This window comes from Homo sapiens, chromosome 19, assembly GCF_000001405.40.
Source record: "Homo sapiens chromosome 19, GRCh38.p14 Primary Assembly".
Lineage (NCBI taxonomy): Eukaryota > Metazoa > Chordata > Mammalia > Primates > Hominidae > Homo > Homo sapiens.
In genome coordinates this window covers 4,066,962-4,085,588 of record NC_000019.10, presented here as the reverse complement: position 1 = coordinate 4,085,588, position 18,627 = coordinate 4,066,962, and the positions used below count along the sequence as shown (strand labels likewise).

Sequence of the window (18,627 nt, the reverse complement as noted above, 5' to 3'; positions counted from 1 at the left end):
ATCCCAACTACTTGGGAGGCTGAGGCAGGGGCGCAGGAGTTACCTGTTCCACCCCGCGCCCCTGCATTCCAGCCTGGCAACAGAGGGAGACAGACTCCATCTCAATAAATAAATAAATAAATAAATATTAATAAACAAAATAGAGGAAAAGAACAGATGATTTGATAGTATATTTCACCCAGCAGAGCCAAAATATTCCCGTTTCACCTTGGAATCAATATGAAATATTTAGGTTTTTCTCTCTTTTTTTTTTTTTTTTTGAGATGGAGTCTCGCTTTGCTGCCCAGGCTGGAGTGCAGTGGCGTGATCTCGGCTCACCACAACCTCCACCTCCCGGGTTCAAGCGATTCTCCTGCCTCAGTCTCCCGAGTAGCTGGGATTACAGGCATGTGCCACCACACCCGGCTAATTTTTGTATTTTTAGTAGAGACAGGGTTTCACCATGTTGGCCAGGCTGGTCTCGAACCCCTGACTTCAATGATCTGACCGCCTTGGCCTCCCAAAGTGCTAGGATGACAGGTGTGAGCCACCACGCTGGGTGGTTTTGTTTTGTTTTGTTTTGTTTTGTTTTTTTGGATGCAAATACTTGGGAATTTTGTCTGCCAGGGACTGCCTGACCGGCCGGCACAAAACTCAGTCATTTCTGTCCCCTCACAGATGTCTTTTAATCCACTGGATCTTAGCAGGAACAATTCTGTCCCCCCACCCAGGGGAGGCTTGGAAACTCCCAGACGTCTGTGGTTGTCGAGACAGGGGGTGCCCCTGCCATGGAATGGATGGAGGCCAGAGATGTCACCCAGCACCCTGCAGTGCCCAAGGCAGCCCCACCTCCCGAGGACCATCCAGCCCAGATGTCCCCAGTGCAGGTTGGAGGCGGGGGTCTCAGGCAGCCCTCCCTGGGGCCAGGGCGGTTTCCTGTGTGCAGAGTCTGGGACACAGGGTGGAGGGGGTGCAGGCAGGGGACAGCTGCACCCGGGGTGGGGACATGATGGGGCAGCACATAAAGAAGCTTCTAGAAGGTGGGCGGTCTAGGGCCACGTGGCCAGGGGTGGAGGTGTGTGACCTGCAGGAAGCCTCAGGTCCCGCAGGCGGAACTCAGCCTCCTGGAGGCCCTGGGCTCCAGGGCAGGTTAAGGAGAGTTCAGAGGAAGTTGTCACAGCCTTTCCCAGAATGCAGGGGTCTGGCGAGGAGTGGGAGGGAGGGAGGAAGAAGGGGCCCGGCTCAAAACGAAACCAGCAGCGGCCGGCGGCCCCACCCCTCCCTCCGCTCCTCTTCCTGGCCTCTGAGCTGACCAGGTGTGCAGGCCCCGGGGCCTCCAGGCCGCACCTGGAGCAACAGGCCAGGTGGGTTTAGGGTGGCGCAGGAGTTACCTGTTCCGCAGTCCCTGGCAGGCGGACAGGAGAGGCCTGGGCCCAGTGGCGACCTGGAACTGGAGGCCCAGTCTCAGGTTTCTGCCAGGCTTCCCAGGGGAGGGACAGAGGCCTGGAGAGAGGCCCCCTGGAGGGTAGCACAGGTGAGGACCCACCCCCCCAGCTGGGACCCTGACCCCAGCTCTCTCCCATCTACCAGTGACTCACCACCAGCCCCTCAGGAGAGCAGGGCCTCCTGTTTTGTTTACGTTTTTGTTTGAGGCAGGGTCTCACTCTGTTGCCCAGGCTGGAGGGCAGTGGCGCGCCATCATAGCTCACTTCAGCCTCCGCCTCCCAGGTTCCAGCGATCCTCCTGCCTCAGCCTCCTGAGTAACTGGGACTGCAGGCGCGCGCCACCATGCCCAGCTCATTTTTTGAAACTTTCTCGTAGAGATGGGGTCTCACCGTATTGCCCAGGCTGGCCTGAAACTCCTGGAACTCCTGGCCCCAAGCAATCCTTCTGATCCCAGTGTGCTGGGATTATAGGCGTGAGTCGCTGCGGCCAGCCAGGGCCTCCTGTTTGAACATCAGGACCACAGGCCTGACGATATTTCTGCTGTCCTTGGGCCTGTGACCTTGGGGAAGATAGAATCCCCTCTGAGAGCCTCAGTTTCCCTATTTGCAAAGGAACTCATCACAGGCTCAAGAAAAGAGAGAAGCGTCCACGGAGGAGCGAATCCTCTCTGCAGACTTCCGAGGAGGCCCACATCCCTTCTGTTTGCACCCCACAAAATAGGCTGACCAGGTTTGCCTCTCCCCACACAACCTCTGCGGCAGCGGAGTCCCTGCAAGTTAGGTGACCTTCTGAAGGTGACTCGAACCTCCCCCAGGGAAGACATGGACGATCCTGTGGTCCCACCATCCTGCTGTCTCCCCTGACAGGACACTGCCTTCGTGACCCACAAATATTTGGGGCTTTTCTGCAGTGCTCTGTGGGATCCTAAAAGATAAGAGCCCCTGTCCATCGCTGGGGAGCCTGCAGCCTCCCCACGGCGCTCGCTCGGGCCCAGAAATTAGAATTTATAGCCGCCCTAAGGGCTAAAGGCAAATTTAGCCAGCACCTAGAGGAGAAGTCCTGGGAAGGAGGGGAATCCACAGCTGAGGGCTGGAGAGGACATTCCCAACAGTGGCGGGGCCAACATGGGCAACGGTGTCAGCAAAGGCTGGGTGGCAGGACTGGGTGACAGGGGCCCTTGGAGAGGCCCAGCCTGGCTGGGGGCGCGGGCTGGGAGCAACGAGGTTCAAAATATGGCCATGAAGCTGAGATCCCTTCCTCCCTCCAGGCAAGAAAGGGGGGCAGCTTTTTTTTTTTTTTTTTTTTTTTTTTGAGATGGAGTCTCGCTCTGTCACCCAGGCTGGAGTGCAGTGGCGCAATCTCGGCTCACTGCAAGCTCTGCCTCCCAGGTTCATGCCAATCTCCTGCCTCAGCCTCCCCAGTAGGTGGGACTACAAGTGCCTGCCGCCACACCCGGCTAATTTTTTTGTATTTTTTAGTAGAGACGGGTTTTCACCGTGTTAGCCAGGATGGTCTCGATCTCCTGACCTCGTGATCCGCCCGCCTCGGCCTCCCAAAGTGCTGGGATTACTGGCGTGAGCCACTGCTCCTGGCCAAGGGGGGCAGCTTTGAAAGCCCCTGGCACAACCTCCTGAGCTGTGGCATCGCTGCCAAGATGGCACTGAGGGCCCTCCAAGGCACGGGGTCCCTACTGGGCCCCCTGAGTGTGGCTGGTGGCTGGTGGCTGGTTGCCTCTTGGAGTAAGGCTCACTGCACACAAAGGTTAAAGGCTGGAGGTCACCAGGCCTGGAGCAGTGGCAGGTTCAAATGCAGATGTTGCCGCAACTTCCGTCAGTATCTAGAACTATCTGGAACTCGCACTCCCAGGAACACCGCCGTCCAGGTCGCCTTCCCTTCCTCCCTCAAGCCAGTTTGAGCTCTGTGCAGAGACAAAGGCTGGGCCCTGAGTGGCTGTCCTGGGTCCCCCTTCCTCCCGGAATACCAAGCTCACACCGTTTCTCAGGCCTCGGGAGACCCTTCCTGTCAGGCCTTTGCAGCTCTGTCCCCACGGACACTGGGCTCCCTGGGCTCTTGGAGGAGGAAGGAGGGAGGAGGGGCATGGAGGAGGAGGGAGGAGGGGCAGAGAGGAGGAAGGAGGAGGAACAGGGAAGAGTAGGGGGAGGGAGGAGGAGTAGGGAAGAGGAGAGAGGAGGAGCAGGGGTGAGTAGGGAGGAAGAAGGAGCAAGAAGGAGGAGGAGGGAGGAAGGAAGAGCAGGGAGGAGGGGCAGGGAGGAGGGAGCAGAGGCAAAGAGGAGGAGGGAGGAGTAGGAGGGAGGAAGGAGGAGCAGGGGGGAGGAGGGAGGAGAGGAAAGGAGGAGGGAGGAGAGGCAAAGAGGAGAAGGGGGAGTAGGAGGGAGGAAGGAGGAGCAGAGAAGAGCAGGGAGGAGGGAGGAGAGGCAAGGAGGAGGAGGGGGGAGTAGGAGGGAGGAAGGAAGAGCAGGGAGGAGGGAGGAGGGGCAGGGAGGAGGAGGGAGGAGGGGCAAGAAGGAGGCGGGAGGGAGGAGGAGGAGCATCTAGGAGGAGGGAGAAGGGAGGAGGAGCATCAAGGAGAAGGGAGGAGGAGCAATGATCACAGACACAGGAGGGAGCTCCCTGGGATTTCATAAGATCCTAGTGCCAGAGCCAGGTGGGCTGAGGAAAGAGGAGATCCTGAATGTGGAACCCTGCAAGGGAGATTAGACTGGAGTCCTAGCTGACACTTGCAGGTATCCACTCTACACTCCCCATACCTTTTTTTTTTTTTTTTTTTCTGAGACAGAGTCTAGCTTTGTCACCCAGGCTGGAGTGCAGTGGCACAATCTCAGCTCACTAAAACCTCCACCTCCCAGGTTCAAGCGATTCTTCCGCCTCAGCCTCCCGAGTAGCTGGGATTACAGGTGCGCACCACCACGCCCAGCTAACTTTTGTACTTTTAGTAGAGACGGGGTTTCACTGTGTTAGCCAGGATGGTCTCGATCTCCTGACCTTGTGATCTGCCTGCCTCAGCCTCCCAAAGTGCTGGGATTACAGGCGTGAGCCACCATGCCCGGCCCCCTCCTCCCCTCTTTTCCCTTTCCCCTTCCCGTCCCCACCCCTCCCTCTCTCCCTCCCCTTCCCTTCATCTCCCCTCCCTGTCTTCCCCTCCCTACTCTTTCCCTCCCACCTCTTCCCCTCCCCCTCTCCTTTCCTCCTGCCCTCCCCATCCCCTCCCCCTTCTCCTCCTCCTCTCTTCCCCCTCCCCCTTCCCCTCCCCACCCCTCCCTCTCTCCCTCCACCTCCTCCCTCCTTTCCCCTCCCCATCCCCTCTCCCTTTCCCCTTCTCTCCCCATAATTTGTTTGTTTGTTTTTTTGAGACAGGATCTCACTCTGTCACCCAGGCTGGAGGGCAGTGGCGGCACGATCACCTCTCACTGCAGCCTCCTGCTCAGGTGAACCTCCTGTCTCAGCCTCCTGAGTAGCTGGGATGACAGGCACACACCACCATGCCTGACTAGTTTTTTTTTTTTTTTTGTAGAGTCAGGGTTTCGTCATGTGGCCAGGCTGGTCTCCAAGTCCTGGGCTCAAGGTATCCTCCATCCTCCTGCCTCGGTCTCCCAAAGTGCTGGGGTTACAAGTGTCAGTCACCGCGCCATGCCCCCTCTCCCCATCATTAAAGGGGAGGGGCCATTGTGTACCCAGCCCACTTGTCTCTGTACCTCTCTGGGCCTCCGCAGGGCGCCACCTGTAAATGCTAACGTGGGTTTCCCTTTTTATTTATTTATTTTTTGTTTTTGAGACAAGAGTCTCTGTTGCCCAGGCTGGAGTGCAGTGGCGCAATCTCGGCTCGCTGCAAGCTCCGCCTCCCGGTTTCACGCCATTCTCCTGCCTCAGCCTCCCGAGTAGCTGGGACTACAGGCGCCTGCCACCACGCCCGGCTAATTTTTGTATTTTCAGTAGAGCTGGGGTTGCACCATGTTGGCCAGGCTAGTCTTGAACTCCTGACCTCATGATCCACCTGCCTCGGCCTCCCAAATTGCTGGGATGACAGGTGTGAGCCACTGCACTGGACTGCTAATGTGGGTTTCTAAGGTTCCAGCAGCCTCCCTAAGCCTCCTGTTTGGAAGTCCTGGGTTCCTGCCCTGTGTGGGGTGGAGAAGGGGCTTTTCCAGGAGCACAGAGCTGCCAGCCCAGGTGGATCCCCTCAGCACCTCAGCCAGCTGGTGCTGCCTTTCTATCCATTTTTTTATTATTATTATTATTATTTTAGACGGGGTCTCAGTCTGTTGCCCAGGCTGGAGTGCAGTGGTGTGATCTCAGCTCACTGCAACCTCCACTTCCCAGATTCAAGTGATTCTCCTGCCTCAGCCTCCCAACTAGCTGGAATTACAGGCGCCTGCCACCACGGCTGGTTAATATTTATTTATTTATTTTCTCTCTTTTTATTATTCCCGTTTTACAATGAAGAGGCTAATTTTTATTTTTCTTAATTTTTAATGTTTATATTTTGAGATGGAGTCTGGCTCTCTTGCCCAGGCTGGAGTGCAGTGGCACGATCTTGGCTCACTGCAACCTCTGCCTCCCGGATTCAAGCAATTCTCCCACCTCAGCCTCCAGAGTAGCTGGGATTACAGGTGCAAGCCACCATGCCTGGCTAAGTTTTATATTTTTAGTAGAGACGGAGTTTCACCACGTTGGCCAGGCTGGTCTTGAACTCCTGACCTCAAGTGATCTGCCCCTCTTCGCCTCCTAAGGTGCTGCAATTATAGGTGTGAGCCATCCAGCCCAGCCAAGTGACTATACTAAAAACCACTGAGGCTGGGTGAGGTGACTCATGCCTGTAATCCCAGCACTTTGGGAGGCCGAGGCGGGCAGACTGCCTGAACGCAGGAGTTCAAGACCAGCCTGGGCAACATGGTGAAACACTGTCTCTACTAAAATGCAAAAATTAGCCGGGCATGGTGGTGGGCGCCTGTAGTCCCAGCTACTCTGGAGGCTGAGACACGAGAATCAGTTGAACCTGGGAGGTGGAGGCTGCAGTGAGCCGAGACTGCTCTGCTGTACTCCAGAGTGAGACTGTGTCTCCAAAAAAAGAAAAAAGAAAAACAAAAAACCACTGAACTCTATACTCTAAATGGGTGAATTGCATGGCATGTGAATTATATCTCAATAAAGCTGTTAAAAAAAAAAAAAAAGAAAACTACCGCCCTCTCACATTTTGACACAGACTAACCGCCTATCTCTACCGAGATATGTTATTGATATTGACATGCAAATGGTCACTCCCCTATCCTGTCTGACCAGCACCAAGCACCTGCCCCACCTTGACTGGGCCCTGTGGGGGTGCTGGGGACAGGGAGGTCAGTGGGTCCCAGTCCCTGCTCTTGAGTGAGTGGCTCAAGCCCCAGGCCCCCACCAAGCAGGAAGGACCTGAGGGTGGGGTGGGGATGGAGGTGGGGTGGGACAAGGCCATGCCCAACTGAATTTCCAGCCTGGATCTGCTAGCGGACAGAGCTCCAGCCTCCGCTGGGGGTTCTGGGGGACAGTGGCTCATCCCGGGCTCGGGACTCGGGCAGCCCGGAGCCTCCTTCCCGGTGGTTTCTGGGCCAAGGGTCTCTCCCTGGCCAAAGGAGCGGCCGACATCCTGTTCTGCCTGGGAGTTGGCCCCGCCCCCTCCCACGGGGACATTATGGGATGGTCCGCGGTGCTGGAGGAATCTTTGAACTTCCCAGCGCCGGGTGGGGTGTACGTGATTCTTAGCCCCACTTTTGGGTAACTGAGGGGTTCAGGAAAGGAGGCTCAGGGATAGTGGGAAGTTGCTTCTCCCACCCAAGGTCACACAGGGAGAACTTGACCTTGACCCCATGACCTTGACTTCCAGGACCCCCCCCCCCCCCCCCGCCCCGGCCAGGCCAGAAGAAGGTCAGGAAGGTCAGGAAAAGGAGCGGCAGGTGGTGGACCCCTCCCCGGCCCCCGACTTAACAAGGCCACCCTCCCCGGCTCTGTCCATCTCTCTGTCCCTCTTCTCCTCTCTCTGTCCCCAGCCCTGAAAGTGAAACCGGTGATACCAAAGTGAAACGGAAGCTCCGGCCCCCGCAGCCCAAGCCCGGCAGGCAGAGACGGAGAGAAGGAGAGGGGAACAGGGGCCAGCCCACGTGGCAGGTGGGCTGCAGGGAGGGAGGACTCCGCTCTTTAAATTGCGGTGGTTCTTAAAAAAAGAACAAACCCAGGAGGTCTGGCTGGACCAGAACCGCAGCCATGATCTCCCCTCCCACAGCCCCGCCCCCACCCCTGAAGTCTGGAGTCTTCAGCTCCACACTGGGGGTGCCATGTTGAGGATTCTGCACAACTGGGGGCTGGGGGAGAGGACAGACTGGCCTTGTCCATTGTTGGGAGGTCCCGTGGGGTGAGGGTGACCCTTGGGGTCCATCTCCAGGGTCCAGGAATCACCCCAAAGTGGGTAAAGCCTGGGGCCAGGGTCCCCCCCTTATCCCAGAGTAGAGACTGTCTGCTTTGGACAAGGGGGTGCCCAGGGGTGGTGGTGGAGGGCAGTGGATGGCTGAAGTCCTGCCTTGTCCAGGGGTCACTGGCCAGTGGCTTTTCTTCTCTGCAGAGCACAGAGAGGAGAGAAGTGTGTGGGTGCCTTCTACAGCGAGCAAGACTGAAGTTAGACCCAGGCTAGAATTTCAGCCCCTCGGTGTGGTGGACACTATGGGACCTGATCAACCTCTGGGGTGGGTCCGTCCTGGGCACTGCAGGGTGCTGAGCTGTGTCCCTGGCCTCCACCCACCCCCTCCCCAATCACAACACCTAAAAATGTCTCCAGATATCACCCAGTATCGCCTGGAAGGAGGCAGAGTCACTCCAGATGAGACCTCCTGAGCTAAAGGGTACTGGGCCACAGAGAGAGGTAGAGACTGGGCCCTGAGCCATGACCCAAAAGGCAGCAGGCCCTGGGCTTTGGAGCTCTGTGGCCAGGTCCTGAGAGGTGCCTGGGAGGCAGCCATCCAGTCTGGAAGAGAGGGGGTGGGGCAAGAGGCTGCCTCTCAGTTGCAGAGAGGGAACTGGGCTTGGTAAAAACGGGGCAGAAGGGACCCATTGCAGATGGGAATTCTGAGTGGTGTGGTGGACACGGATCCAGTCCCAGCATAGCTACCAAGGCTTCTGTCTTCTGGAACAAATAGAAGTCACCTCTTAGCAGCTGCCCAGGTGAAAATACCCAGGCACCATCTCCCCAACCGCTATGAATTCAGAAGCCATGGAGAAATCAGCAGCTCAGAAAGTATTTCTCCCAGGCCGGGCACGGTGGCTCACGCCTGTGATCTCAGCACTTTGGGAGGCCGAAGCGGGTGGATCACCTGAGCTCAGGAGTTCGAAACCAGTATGGTCAACACGGTAAGACCACATCTGTAGTAAAAATACAAAAGTTAGCCAGGTGTGGTGGCACACACCTGTAATGCCAGTTACTCAGGAGGCTGAGGCAGGAGAATCACCTGAACCCGGGAGGTGGAGGTTGCAGTGAGCCGAGATCACACCACTGCACTCCAGCCTGGGTGACAGAATGAGACTCAGTCTCAAAAAATAAAATAATAAATAAATAAATAAATTGAGATATAATTCACATACCAGAATATGTACCTTTTATTATTTATTTATTTATTTATTTATTTATTATTTTTTTGAAACAGAGTTTTGCTCTTGTTGCCCAGGCTGGAGTGCAATGGCACGATCTTGGCTCACTCCAACCTCTGCCTCCCAGGTTCAAGTGATTCTCCTGCCTCAGCCTCCCAAGTAGCTGGGATTACAGGCACCCACCACCATGCCTGGCTGATTTTTGTATTTTTAGTGGAGATGGGGTGTCGTCATGTTGGTCAGGCTGGTCTTGAACTCCTGACGTCAGGTGATCTGGCTGCCTCGACTTCCCAAAGTGCTGGGATTCCAGGCATGAGCCACCATGCCCGGCTAATTTTGTATTTTTAGTGGAGATGGGTGTCGTCATGTTGGCCAGGCTGGTCTTGAACTTCTGACCTCAGGTGATCCAGCCGCCTCGGCTTCCCAAAGTGCTGGGGTTCCAGGCATGAGTTTGTCCTTTTTTTTTTTTTTTTTTTTTGAGACAGAGTCTCACTCTGTTGCCCAGGCTGGAGTGCAGTGGCGCAATCTCGGCTCACTGCAACCTCCGCCTCCCAGGTTCAAGCCATTCTCCTGCCTCAGCCTCCTGAGTAGCTGGGATTACAGGCCCACGTCACCACACCCGGCTAATTTTTTTTTTGTATTTTTAGTAGAGATGGGGTTTCATGATGTTGGTCAGGCTGATCTCGAACTCCTGACCTCATGATCCGCCCGCCTCAGCCTCCCAAAGTGCTGGGATTACAGGCGTGAGCCACCGCGCCCAGCCTTGAGCCTGCCCTTTTTAAAGGGTGCGATTCAGTCATTCTCAATACATTCACAGACTTGTGCAACTATCACCACTATCTAGTTGCAGAACCTATCACCCCAGAAAGGAAGCCCCATCCCCATCGGCAGTCACTACCCATGCCCCTCCCGACCCCGGCACCCACGCATCCCCTTCCTGCCTCTGTGGCTTGGCCTGTCCTGGACATTTCATAGAAATGGGATCACACGCTGTGTGGCTTTTTGTGTCTGACTTCCCTCACTGAGTGTGAGGTCCTCAGGGTTCATCCACGCGGTGGCCTGAGTCAGAGCCTCCTTCCTTTTCATGGCTGAATTCAGAACACTTTAAATAAAGTCCACAGCCTGCACCACGGCCACAAGTCCCCACTGGGTGCCCTCTGGCTCCCAACTGCAGCCACTCTGGGCACCTTGGCTGTTCCTCTCACCTAGGAAACATACGGAGGTCTTCAGCTAATTCTATCTTCATTAAGATGTCTGCTCATGGCCGGGCGCAGTGGCTCACCCCTGTAATCCTAGCACTTTGGGAGGCCAACATGGGTGGATCACATGAGGTCAGGAGTTCGAGACCAGCCTGACCAACATGGTGAAACCCTGTCTCTACTAAAAATACAAAGAGTAGCCAGGCGTGGTGGCAGGAGCCTGCAATCCCAGCTACTCGGGAGGCTGAGGCAAGAGAATCTCTTGAACCCAGGAGGCGGAGGTTGGAGTGAGCTGAGATCGTGCCACTGCCCTCCAGCCTGGTGACAGAGCAAGACTCTGTCTCCAAAATAAAAGAAAGAAAGAAAGAAAGAAAGAAAGAAAGAAAGAAAGAAAGAAAGAAAGAAAGAAAGAAAGAAAGAAAGAAAGGAGAGAAAAGATCTCTGCTCAAACATCACTTCCTTTGAAGAAATCATCTTCATGATCTTTTTTTTTTTTTTTGGTAGAGACAGGGTCTCACTATGTTGCCCAGGCTGATCTTGACCTCCTGGGCTCAAGCGATCCTTTAGCTTTGGCCTCCCAAGATGCTGGGATTACAGACGTGAGCCACCGTGTAGGCCCTTCAGGACTATTTAAAAAATGAAATAGCCTCTAGGCACAAGTCGGTTTTGTCTGATTCTGTGGGATCTCTGTGTCTTTTGCTATCTTTGAGTTATTTCACAACCCCGTAAGTTGTAGAAAACTGATAATAATTGCAACGATTCCTGTCCACAAGAAAACAAATTCATTGTGTATCGTCACGTCGTCTTCCTTCTATTTGTAGATCCATTCTAGCATTTCTTTTTTTTGAGACGGAGTCTCGCTCTGTCGCCCAGGCTGGAGTGCGGTGGGGTGATCTTGGCTTACTGCAAGCTCCGCCCCCTGGGTTCACACCATTCTCCTGCCTCAGCCTCCTGAGTAGCTGGGACTACAGGCACCCACCACTATGTGTAGCTAATTTTTTGTATATTTAGTAGAGACGGGGTTTCACCGTGTTAGCCAGGATGGTCTCGATCTCCTGACCTCGTGATCCACCCGCCTCGGCCTCCCAAAGTGCTGGGATTACAGGCTTGAGCCACCGTGCCCGGCCCTTTTTTTTTTTTTTTTTTTTTTTTGAGACAGAGTTTTGCTCTTGTTGCCCAGGCTGGAGTGCAATGGCACGATCATGGCTCACCACCTCCCGGGTTCAAGTGATTCTCCTGCCCCAGCCTCCTGAGTAGCTGGGATTACAGGCGTGCGCCACCACGTTCGGCTAATTTTGTGTTTTTAGTAGAAATGGGGTTTCACCATGTTGGTCAGGCTGGTCTCAAACTCCTGACCTCAGGTGATCCACCCGCCTCAGCCTCCCAAAATGCTGGGATTACAGGTGGGAGCCAGCATGCCCGGCCTATTATTATTATTTTAAATTTTAGAGATGGAGTCTTGCTCTGTTGCCCAGGCTGGAGTGCAGAGGATACTGACGGACACAATCATAGCTCACTGCAGCCACCAATTCCTGGGCTCAAGTGATCCTCCTGCCTCAGCCTCCCACATAGCTGGGACTATAGGCATGCACCACTGCGCTTGGTTCCTAATTATGCAAAAAAAAAAAAAAAAGAAATTCCCTGGCTAGGTATGGTGGCTCACGCTTGTAATCCCAGCACTCTGGGAGGCCAAGGCAGTGGATCACCTGAGGTCAAAAGTTCGAGACCAGCATGGCCAACATGGTGAAACCCCGTCTCTACGAAAAATACAAAAATTTGCTGGGGGTGGTGGCATGCACCTGTAATCCCAGCTACTCAGAGGCTGAGACAGGAGAATCACTTGAACCCGGGAGGTGGAGGTTGCAGTGAGCTGAGATAAGGTTGCACCATTGCACTCCAGGCTGGGCGACAGAGCGAGACTCCGTCTCAAAAACAAACAAACAAACAAAAAACAATTCTCCAGGACTGGTCCTGGTATTTCCATTCCTATGGCTTGCTTTTCTCATTGCACTCATGATGTCTGGAATCCTTGTATTCATTTGTCTTCTTTCTTACTATCTTTAGCCTCCTCTAGCCTGTACGCTGGAGAGCAGGGACTTGGCCCATGGAAAGCACATGGTCCATTTTTGTCCAGTGAATAAATGAGACAGGAAGGCATGGCCGGGCACGGTGGCTCATGCCTACAATCCCAGCACATTGGGAGGCCAAGGCTGGTGGATCACTTGAGCCCAGGAGTTTGAGACCAGCCTAGGCAACATAGCCAGACTCTGTCTCTATCTACAAAATAAAAAGAAAAGTAATTAGGTCGGGCACGGTGGCTCACGCCTGTAATCCCAGCACTTTGAGAGGCTGAGGTAGGTGGAACATCTGTGGTCAGAAGTTCGAGACTAGCCTGACCAACAGGGAGAAACCCCGTCTCTACTAAAAATACAAAATGAGCCCGGTGTAGTGGTGGGTGCCTGTAATCCCAGCTACTCGGAGGTTGAGGCAGGAGAATGGCTTGAACCCGGGAGGTGGAGGTTGCGGTGAGCCAAGATCGCGCCATTGTACTCTAGCCTGGGTGACAAAATCAAAACTCTGTCTCTAAATAAATAAGTAAATAATAGGTCAGGCGCGGCAGCTCACACTTGTAATCCTAGCACTTTGGAAGGCCAAGGCGGATGGATCACAAGGTCAGAAGTTCAAGACCAGCCTGACCAACATGGTAATACCTCATCTCTACTAAAAATACAAAAATTAGCCGGGCATGATGGTGTGTGCCTGTAGTCCCAGCTACTTGGGAGGCTGAGGCAGAATTGCTTGAACCTGGGAGGCAGAGGTTGCAGTGAGCCAAGATTGCGCCACTGCACTCCAGCCTGGGAGACAGAGTCATACTCTGTCTCTAAATAAATAAATAAATAAATAAAGCACAAGGCCGGGCACGGTGGCTCACGCCTGTAATCCCAGCACTTTGGGAAGCCGAGGTGGGCGGTTCCCAAGGTCAAGAGTTCGAGACCAGTCTGGCCAATATAGTGAAATCTCGTCTCTACTAAAAATACAAAAAATTAGTGGGACGTTGTGGCGGGCACCCGTAATCCCAGCTACTCAGGACGCTGAGGCAGGAGAATTGCTTGAACCCGGGAGGCGGAGGTTGCGGTGAGCCAAGATCGTGCCATTGCACTCCAGCCCAGGCAACAGTGCGAGACTCCGTCAGAAAGAAAATAAATAAAAATAAAAATGAAAAATAAAAAGCACAGTTGTTTCTAGAATATTGAAAGAGTTATGGAACCATTACTTCTATATAACTTCAGAACATTCTCATCATCACCAAAATAAACCTCATGTCCAATAGCAGTCACCCCCATTCCCCTCCCCAGCCTCTGACAACCACGCATCCACTTTGTATCTCCATGGATTGGCCTGTTCAGCACATTTCAGAGAAATGGGATCACACAGTTTGGACTTTTGTGTCTTGCTTCTCTCACTGAGTATGATGTCCTCAAGGTGCATCCACACTGTGGCCTGCATCAGAGCTTTGCTCCTCTTCATGGCTGAGTCATATTCCGCTGTGTGGATGTCCTATGCTGTGTTTATCCATTGATCTAATAATGGAAGCTGGGCGCAGTGGCTCATGCCTGTAGTCCTAGCACTTAGGGAAGCTGAGATGGGTGGATCACCTGAGGTCAGGAGTTTGAGACCAGCCTGGCCAACATGGTGAAACCTCTTCTGTACTAAAAATACAAAAATTAGCCAGGCATGGTGGCAGGTGCCTGTAATCCCAGCCACTTGGGAGGCTGAGGCAGGAGAATCGCTTGAACCTGGGAGATGGAGGTTGCAGTGAGCTGAGATTGTGCCACTGCACTTCAGCCTGGGTGACACAGGAGACTCTGTCTCAAAAAAAAAAAAAAAGAAAGAAAGAAAAGAATAATAGCAATGGACACTGGAATTGTTTCCACCTTTTGGCTGTTGTGAATTATGCTGTTATAAACATTCTATTTCGGCCGGGCGCGATGGCTCACGCCTGTAATCCCAGCACTTTGGGAGGCCGAGGTGGGTGGATCACGAGGTCAGGAGATCGAGACCATCCTGGCTAACACAGTGAAACCCCGTCTCTACTAAAAATACAAAAAAAATTAGCCGGGCGTGGTGGCGGATGCCTGTAGTCCCAGCTACACGGGAGGCTGAGGCAGGAGAATGGCGTGAACCCTGGAGGCGGAGCTTGCAGTGAGCCGAGATCGCGCCACTGCACTCCAGCCTGGGCGACAGAGCGAGACTCCACCTCAAAAAAATAAAATAAAATAAAATAAACATTCTATTTCATTATTATTATTATTCATTTATTTTTAAAAAATGGAGATGGGGCCAGGCGCGGTGGCTCATGCCTGTAATCCCAGCAATTTGGGAGGCCAAGGTGGGTGGATCACAAGGTCAGGGATTTGAGACCAGCTTGGCCAATATGGTGAAACTCCATCTCCAGTAAAAATACAAAAATTAGCTGTGCATGGTGGCGTGCACCTGTAGTCCCAGCTACTTGGGAGGCTGAGGCACAAGAATTGCTTGAACCCGGGAGGTGAAGGTTGCAGTGAGCTGAGATCGCGGCACTGCACTCCAGCCTGGGCAACAGAGGGAGACTCCGTATCAAAATAAATAAATAAATAAAAATAAAATAAAATATTACATGACTTCACAGCACAGTCTAGTCAACGTAACTGAAACTCAAGTCCCCCCAGCCACTCCCTTTGTGTCTTTGCTAAGTTACTCCTCCTCCCTGGTCCCCTGTCTACATCTATCCACCAAGGATAATAACCCTGGCTACGGCCGGGCCCGGTGGCTCACGCCTGTAATCCCAGCACTTTGGGAGGCCGAGGTGGGCGGATCATCTGAGGTCGGGAGTTCAAGACCAGCCTGAATAACATGGAGAAACCCCGTCTCTACTAAAAATACAAAATTAGAGGCCGGGCACGGTGGCTTATGCCTGTAATCCCAGCACTTTGGGAGGCCGAGGCGGGCGGATCATGAGGTCAGGAGTTTGAGACTAGCCTTGCCCACATAGTGAAACCCCATCTCTATAAAAACGCAAAATTAGCTGGGCATGGTGGTGCGCGGCTGTAATCCCAGCTACTCAGGAGGCTGAGGCAGGAGAATCGCTTGAACCAGGGAGGCGGAGGTTGCAGTGAGCCGAGATCGTGCCATTGCACTCCAGCCTGGGCAATAGTGTGAGACTTGTCTCAAAAAAAAAAAAAAAAAAAATTAGCCGGATGTGGTGGCGTATGCCTGTAATCCCAGCTACTTGGGAGGTTGAGGCAGGAAAATCGCTTGAACCTGAGAGGCAGAGGTTGTGGTGAGCCGAGATCGTGCCATTACACTCCAGCCTGGGCAATAAGAGTGAACCTCTGTCTCACAAACAAATAAACAAACAAACAAACAGACAAACAGAAAACCCCTGGCTACACAGAGACAAAAATAATAGGCGTGACTCAAACATTAATAATATAATCACACCTATCATGTAATGAAGACCTCCCTGGTGCAGGGGTTGTGCTGTCTCAGCGTTCCATGCACCGTCTCATTTCTCCCTTGTCACAACACTAGGAAGTTGCATCGATTCTTCTCTCCAAAGGAGTCTGAGGATCAGAGAGGTTAAGCAACCTGCCCAAGATCACACAGCAACCCAATCTTTTATACTTTATTAGGTTTTCAATAGTATCAACTCGGGTTTTTTTTTTTTTTTTTTTTTTTTGGTTGGGGGAGGAAAAAGGAAGTGAAGGGCAGAGGTCAGGAGGAAGCTTTGGGTCCCCTTCGTTCTGTTTTCATGACAGGGGCGGGGGGCGTGGTTTGGGGTGTGCCACATCCTGGCACTTCCTGAAGGACCTCCCTTTGGTCCCCCTGGCAGCGTCCAGAGACACGCGAATGCTGGACTTAACATCCTTGCTCCTTGTCCATCTCTGGGCCTCAGTTTCCCCAACTGTATGGTGGAAATTGTAGTCTCTGCTTCTTCTCAGGGCTGCGATGAGGATTAGGGTCCATGCCCGTCTCACAGAGGAGCCCCTGCCCCTCTGAGTCAGGTTCTCACCATGGAGAATCCGAGTGGGGCTTTCTCGATCCTTTTCCTGCAGGATCGGATCTGAGGCTGGTGGTACAAGAGGGGAAACTGAGTCACCTGCTGCTCCTGGTGTGGGGGAAGTTAGACCATGTAGAGCTTAGAGCCTGGGCGTCTCGCTGGCACGATGGTTCATTCCTGTCATCTCAGCACTGTGGGAGGCTCAGGTGGGAGGAACACTGAAGCCCAGGAGTTTGAGACCTGGGAAACATAGCAAGACCCCCCCACGGCCCCACCAAATCTCTATTAAAAAAACAAAAAACAAAACAAACAAACAAAAAAAACCAAGGCCAGCCACGGTGGCTCACGCCTGTAATCCCAGCCCTTTGGGAGGCCAAGGTGGTTGGATCACCTGAAGTCAAGAGTTTGAGACCAGGCTTGCCAACATGGCAAAACTCTGTATCTACTAAAAATACAAAAAAAAAAAAAAAAATTAGCCGGGCGTGGTGGCAGGTGCCTGTAATCCCAGCTACTCAGGAGGCTGAGGCAGGGGAATCGCTTGAACCCGGGAGGCGGAGATTGCAGTAAGCCAAGATCGTGCCATTGCACTCCAGGCTGGGCGACAGAGCAAGTCTGTCTAAAACAAAAAACAAAAAAACAAAACAAAAAAAAACGTCTGGGCATCATTTGCAGAAATCCAAACACAACAGTGGGATCTGGGAAGAATCGTGCTTCAGCGTGGCCTCCTGGTCCCGAGGCTGATGGCCGGTGGTTGAAGGAAGAAGGATTTCTATCCCAGGCAGGGTCCTTGGAGCAAAGTCCCTGGATGACACCCTCGCCCTAGATCCACGCGGCCCCTCCCTGGGTCCCTTCCCACCTACCCGGCTGGTTTCAGGCTGCGAGTCCTGAGACAGTCCACTTCCCCTCCGGGGGGCCCTCCCGGGTTTCCCCTCGTAGCCAGATTATTATTACAAAAGCCAATCCAACCCGTTTGGGTGTTGAAAGGCGCTTTTAATAAATTGTGCGAAGAAGCCATAAACTGTGTCTCTCGCAGGAGAGGCTTTGAAGTCAGAGGACAGGCTGGGTACACTACACCCAGGCCGGTGGTGGTTCCCGCTGTCAGGTGGTGTTGGTACTAAGAATGCCAGATAATAATAAAACATAATAATGACCCTGGGATTAGGTGTTAGAATGAAGGCACAGTGAGCCCCGGAACAGGGTCACCCACTGGATAAGCGCTCACTAAACGGCAGCTAAAGCAGCTGTCAGTACTCTCTCTGTCTGGAGGAATGAGGAAGGGGAAACTGAGTCCTGGAGCCCTCCCCCCCCCCCCCAGGCGCGCGGTCGCACCAGCCAGCCCTCCCCGGGCCGGGCCAGGACGTTCTCACCACTCGTGCCCTGCTCCCCCTTCCCTGTCCCCCGCCGGACCTCTCCCACGACCGGGGAGGAAGTGGGAGAAACGGACAGGGGAAAAAAAAAAGTCGCGCTGAACCAACGCCTCCCCACTCCCCACCTCCGCCCCTCGCGAGCCATGCAGACCCCCTTGTGCCAAGGAGCGGCCCGCGCGGACCAGGCGTCCAGGGCCCGGTCCCCGTCCCGCCCCGCGGCCCGCAGCCGGGTGGGGGAACTCGCGAAGCCGGGAAAACAACCGCCCTCCCCGCCCCTCGCCAACCCCTTCCCCCGCTGACGCCCCTAGCGCAGCGGGGTGGAGGCGACTCCTTTATATAATCGCGGGAGGGCAGGTTGGTGGTTTCATTTAGGGACCCGGGAGCCCCGCGGACCCGGGCTGTCCTTGGCAAGGCCACCCCCCGGGGTCCCTGGCGCGGCAAGTCCCACTGAGGCCCGGGGAGGCCCAGGGCCTGGCCTTGCGGGGGGATCCCCACCGCCTCACCCCCAACCCACCCCCGGCAGCCCAGGCCGCGCGACCCACACGCCCGCGTCGCTCCTCGCTGTGCGCACCGCGCTCCCCGCCCCCGCTGCCATCCTGCCACGCCCCGGGCGTCGGGGGCACAGCCCGCGCCCCCCCGCACCCCGCCCCTGCGCAGAGGCTGGGGGCCTGTTTATCTGGAGGCCCCCACCCCCCCTCCACCCCGGGGGGCCCGCTCCCCCCGCGCCCCGGGGAGCTCTGGGGCCAGATAAGCTGGCAAGCTGGCACGGCGCCGCGCGGCGGGGCGGAGAGGTCAGAGGCGGGGGGGCGCGCCGGGGCGGGCCGGACCCCCCCCCCCGACTTGACAAAACCTAATAACAGCCCGGTCTCCCCGGCGCAGCGGGCGAAGCCCCACGGGAGGGCAGAGACGTGGCAAGAGGGGACCTGCCGAGCCTGTTCTGGCCTCCGAGGCCAGGCTGGGGGGGGCGGGC

General features: G+C 54.7%; 7 annotated features.

Moving 5' to 3' along the window:
- Window positions 795-934: an enhancer, noted in NCBI's record as "active region_13754". NCBI's record gives its function as "activates an Ori minimal core promoter by ATAC-STARR-seq in GM12878 lymphoblastoid cells {active_cell/tissue: GM12878}" and the evidence as "EXISTENCE:reporter gene assay evidence [ECO:0000049][PMID:35858748]".
- Window positions 7,780-7,959: an enhancer, noted in NCBI's record as "active region_13753". NCBI's record gives its function as "activates an Ori minimal core promoter by ATAC-STARR-seq in GM12878 lymphoblastoid cells {active_cell/tissue: GM12878}" and the evidence as "EXISTENCE:reporter gene assay evidence [ECO:0000049][PMID:35858748]".
- Window positions 13,671-13,871: a silencer, noted in NCBI's record as "peak3265 fragment used in MPRA reporter construct". NCBI's record gives its function as "represses an SCP1 promoter by STARR-seq MPRAs in K562 erythroleukemia cells {active_cell/tissue: K562}" and the evidence as "EXISTENCE:reporter gene assay evidence [ECO:0000049][PMID:32103011]".
- Window positions 16,743-16,901: a silencer, noted in NCBI's record as "fragment chr19:4068686-4068844 (GRCh37/hg19 assembly coordinates)". NCBI's record gives its function as "represses an EF-1alpha promoter that drives an FKBP-Casp9 reporter gene in an ReSE screen in K562 erythroleukemia cells {active_cell/tissue: K562}" and the evidence as "EXISTENCE:reporter gene assay evidence [ECO:0000049][PMID:32094911]".
- Window positions 17,840-18,169: a silencer, noted in NCBI's record as "silent region_9880". NCBI's record gives its function as "represses an Ori minimal core promoter by ATAC-STARR-seq in GM12878 lymphoblastoid cells {active_cell/tissue: GM12878}" and the evidence as "EXISTENCE:reporter gene assay evidence [ECO:0000049][PMID:35858748]".
- Window positions 18,230-18,339: a silencer, noted in NCBI's record as "silent region_9879". NCBI's record gives its function as "represses an Ori minimal core promoter by ATAC-STARR-seq in GM12878 lymphoblastoid cells {active_cell/tissue: GM12878}" and the evidence as "EXISTENCE:reporter gene assay evidence [ECO:0000049][PMID:35858748]".
- Window positions 18,550-18,609: a silencer, noted in NCBI's record as "silent region_9878". NCBI's record gives its function as "represses an Ori minimal core promoter by ATAC-STARR-seq in GM12878 lymphoblastoid cells {active_cell/tissue: GM12878}" and the evidence as "EXISTENCE:reporter gene assay evidence [ECO:0000049][PMID:35858748]".